Source organism: Homo sapiens, chromosome 2, assembly GCF_000001405.40.
Source record: "Homo sapiens chromosome 2, GRCh38.p14 Primary Assembly".
Classification (NCBI taxonomy): domain Eukaryota; kingdom Metazoa; phylum Chordata; class Mammalia; order Primates; family Hominidae; genus Homo; species Homo sapiens.
In genome coordinates this window covers 98,412,876-98,416,135 of record NC_000002.12, presented here as the reverse complement: position 1 = coordinate 98,416,135, position 3,260 = coordinate 98,412,876, and the positions used below count along the sequence as shown (strand labels likewise).

General features: G+C 44.3%; 1 annotated feature.

Moving 5' to 3' along the window:
* Positions 2,947 to 2,996: an enhancer, noted in NCBI's record as "active region_16257". NCBI's record gives its function as "activates an Ori minimal core promoter by ATAC-STARR-seq in GM12878 lymphoblastoid cells {active_cell/tissue: GM12878}" and the evidence as "EXISTENCE:reporter gene assay evidence [ECO:0000049][PMID:35858748]".

The following is a 3,260-nucleotide window of genomic DNA, read 5'->3' as shown; positions in this document are numbered from 1 at the left end:
ATTATTTTTTGAAGACAGGGTCTCATTCTCTTAACCAGGCTGGAGTGCAGTGGTGCGATATCCACCCACTGCAACCTCCGCCTCCCCAGTTCAAGCAATTCTCGTACCTCAGCTTCCTGAGTAGCTGGGGTTACAGGTGTGTGACACTACACCCAGCTAATTTTTGTACTTTTAGTAGCGATGGGGTTTCACCATGTTGGCCAGGCTGGTTTTGAACTCCTGACCTCAAGTGATCTGCCTGCCTCAGCCTCCCAAAGTGCTGGGGTTACAGGTGTGAGTCACCATGTCCGGCCTGAAATACATGCTATTTTTTTTTTTTTATTTTGAGATGGAGTCTCACTTTCGTTGCCCAGGCTGGAGTGCAGTGGCACAATCTTGGCTCACCACAACTTCTGCCTCCTGAGTTCAAGCGACTCTCCTGCCTCAGCCTCCCAAGTAGCTGGGATTACAGGCACACACCACCATGCCTGGCTAATTTTTGTATTTTTAGTAGAGACGGGGTTTCACCATGTTGGCCAGGCTGGTTTCGAACTCCTGACCTCGGGTGATCCCCCACCTTGGCCTCCCAAAGTTCTGGGATTACAGGCATAAGCCACCATGTTCAGCCCATGCTTCCTTTTTAAAAAGAGCTCATCCTCAGAATCTAAAGCCATCATTGTCTGGGAGCCAGTGAGCTTCAGGGTTGCCACACATTTAAGGATGCTGTCATCAGATTCTTGTCAACTACAGCTGCCACTGTGTAGCAGTTACTAGACACAAAGCCTGGTTTCTGGTGTAACTGCCTTGTCTTAGGGACAGGCAACTTTTAAAGACCCATGCCATGGGCATGGATTTTTTCTTAAAAGTCTTGCTTTGTTGTAGTCTTGTGAAATCCATTCATCATGAAATGCCTGTGTCAATGAACTGAACATGGATGTTCCCCCCAAATTTGTATGTTGAAATCCTAACCCCTAAGGTGATGATACTAGGAAGCGGGTCCTTTGGAAGGTGATTAAGTCAGAAGGGTAAAGTCCCCATGAATGGGATTCATATTCTTGTAGAAGAAGGCCTAGAGAGTTCATTCACTGCTTCTACCATGTGAGGACACAAAGAGAAGATGCCATCTCTGAACCAGGAAGAGGCCCTCACCAGACACCGAATCTGCTGGCACCTTGATCTTGGACCTCCCAGCCTCCAGAGCTGTGAGCAACAAATTTCTCCAGGCACAGGGAGATGCAATAGCCCTGAAGGCAGCCTGTTGGCAGCAACGTTAACCCCCCTCTAGAGCCTTGAACGCAGTGCCTTTGGCTGACAAAACGTCTGGAAACATGGTACCATATCAGGGGAACCAGCCCCCGATATTTCAATGTAGGTTCTTTTCTATTTTCCCTGTCAGTCAGTCTGAGAAATAAAGGGAAAGAGTACAAAAGAGACAAATGTTAAACTGGGTGTCCGGGGGAGACGTCACATGTTAGCAGGTCCCATGATGCCCCCTGAGCCGTAAAACCAGCAAGTTTTTATTAGCAATTTTCAAAGGGGAGGGAGTGTACAAATAGAGTGTGGGTCACAGAGATCATATGCTTCAAGGGCAACAAAAGATCACAAGGCAGAAGGTCAGGGTGAGATCACAAGGTCACGGTGAAACTAGAATTACTAATGAAGTTCCATGTCCTGCTGTGCACGCATTGTCGTTGATAAACATCTTAACAGGTTCAAGAGCAGAGAACCGGTCTGACTGGAATTCGCCAGGCTGGAATTTCCTAATCCTAGCAAGCCTGGGGGTGCTGCAGGAGGCCAGGGTGTGTTTCATCCCTTATCTGCAACTGCATAAGGCAGACACCCTCCAGAGCGGCCATTTTAGAGGCCCCCCCCGGGAATGCATTCTTTTCCCAGGGCTGTTAATTATTAATATTCCTTACTGGGGAAAGAATTCAACGATATTTCTCTTACCCGTTTGCAGTAATAAGAGAAATATGGCTCTGTCCTACCTGGCTCCCAGGCAGTCAGACCTAATGTTTATCGCCCTTGTTCCCTGAACATTGCTGTTATCCTGTTCTTTTTTCAAGGTGCCCAGATTTCATATTGTTCAAACACACATGCTTTACAAACAATTTGTGCAGTTAATGCAATCATCACAGGGTCCTGAGGTGACATACATCCTCAGCTTATGAAGACAACGGGATTAAGAGATTAAAGTAAAGACAGGCATAGGAAATTATAAAAGTATTAATTTGGAGAACTAACAAATGTCCATGAAATCTTCACAATTTATATTCTTCTGTCACGGCTTCAGCAGGTCCCTCCGTTCAGGGTCCCTGACTTCCCGCAACAGTACCACTTGCTTGTTTAAATCCTCCAAATCCAACTCTCTGAGTCTGGGACTGCATGGGAGGGGAGAAATAATCTGAACAGTTGTGAAGATTCTGCCTGGTGTTCTGCTGCTGAAATGAGCGGGGATCCTGAGAGCATCTCAGATAGTGAGCAGCTCACCACACTGACAGCCACCACCCCAGGACCCAGGCACACAGTATTATTTAAGTTGATATAGTATTAATTTTTCAATATGAACAGTGATAACAAACATAAAGCCATTGTTTAAAATTATGTAAAACATCCAACATAAAATAGAAGTTTCAAGTTCTTGGTAACAGTGACTCAAAATCACTAAGATTTATTAATCTGTCATGAAATAGATGCACATTTTGCTTTTGTGGAAATGAAATTCTTCAACAGTTTTAATGCATATGTGTTCCGTGATCTCTCTCTCTTTTTTTTTAATAGAAATGATCATTGCACTTGCCAGTTTTTCCTGCAACATTGTAAATCTTAAGAAGTTTTAAAGTAACTTTAATTTTGAGAAGCTATGTTCTCCACTGGCAACTGTTACTGGCTAAGTTAAATATATGCTAAAGAACTCAGAAATGAATTCAATAAATATTGCTGCCAGTATGCTGCAAGTCTGGTGGGAGTCAAAACATTAGTTCTGATTAAGAACCCATGTCTCTGTTGTTATGGGAAAAGGATTAATGCAAAGCAGCCCTGTCTAGATAAGAATTTGACCTTCTGCCCTCAAGAATTGTCATAGTATACGGCGCATTAGCATAGACCCTCTACTGCCATCTGCTGGAAATCTGCCATAGTAAATATCAAAAAAATCCATGATGGCGAGACTGCGGGACACCTCTTAAGAAGGTCCCTTTTGGGCAGTGCACAACTAGAGCAACCATATGTGGCATTCCTGAATATGGTCATTAAAAACAAGCTGACTCCTTCCTCTGGGT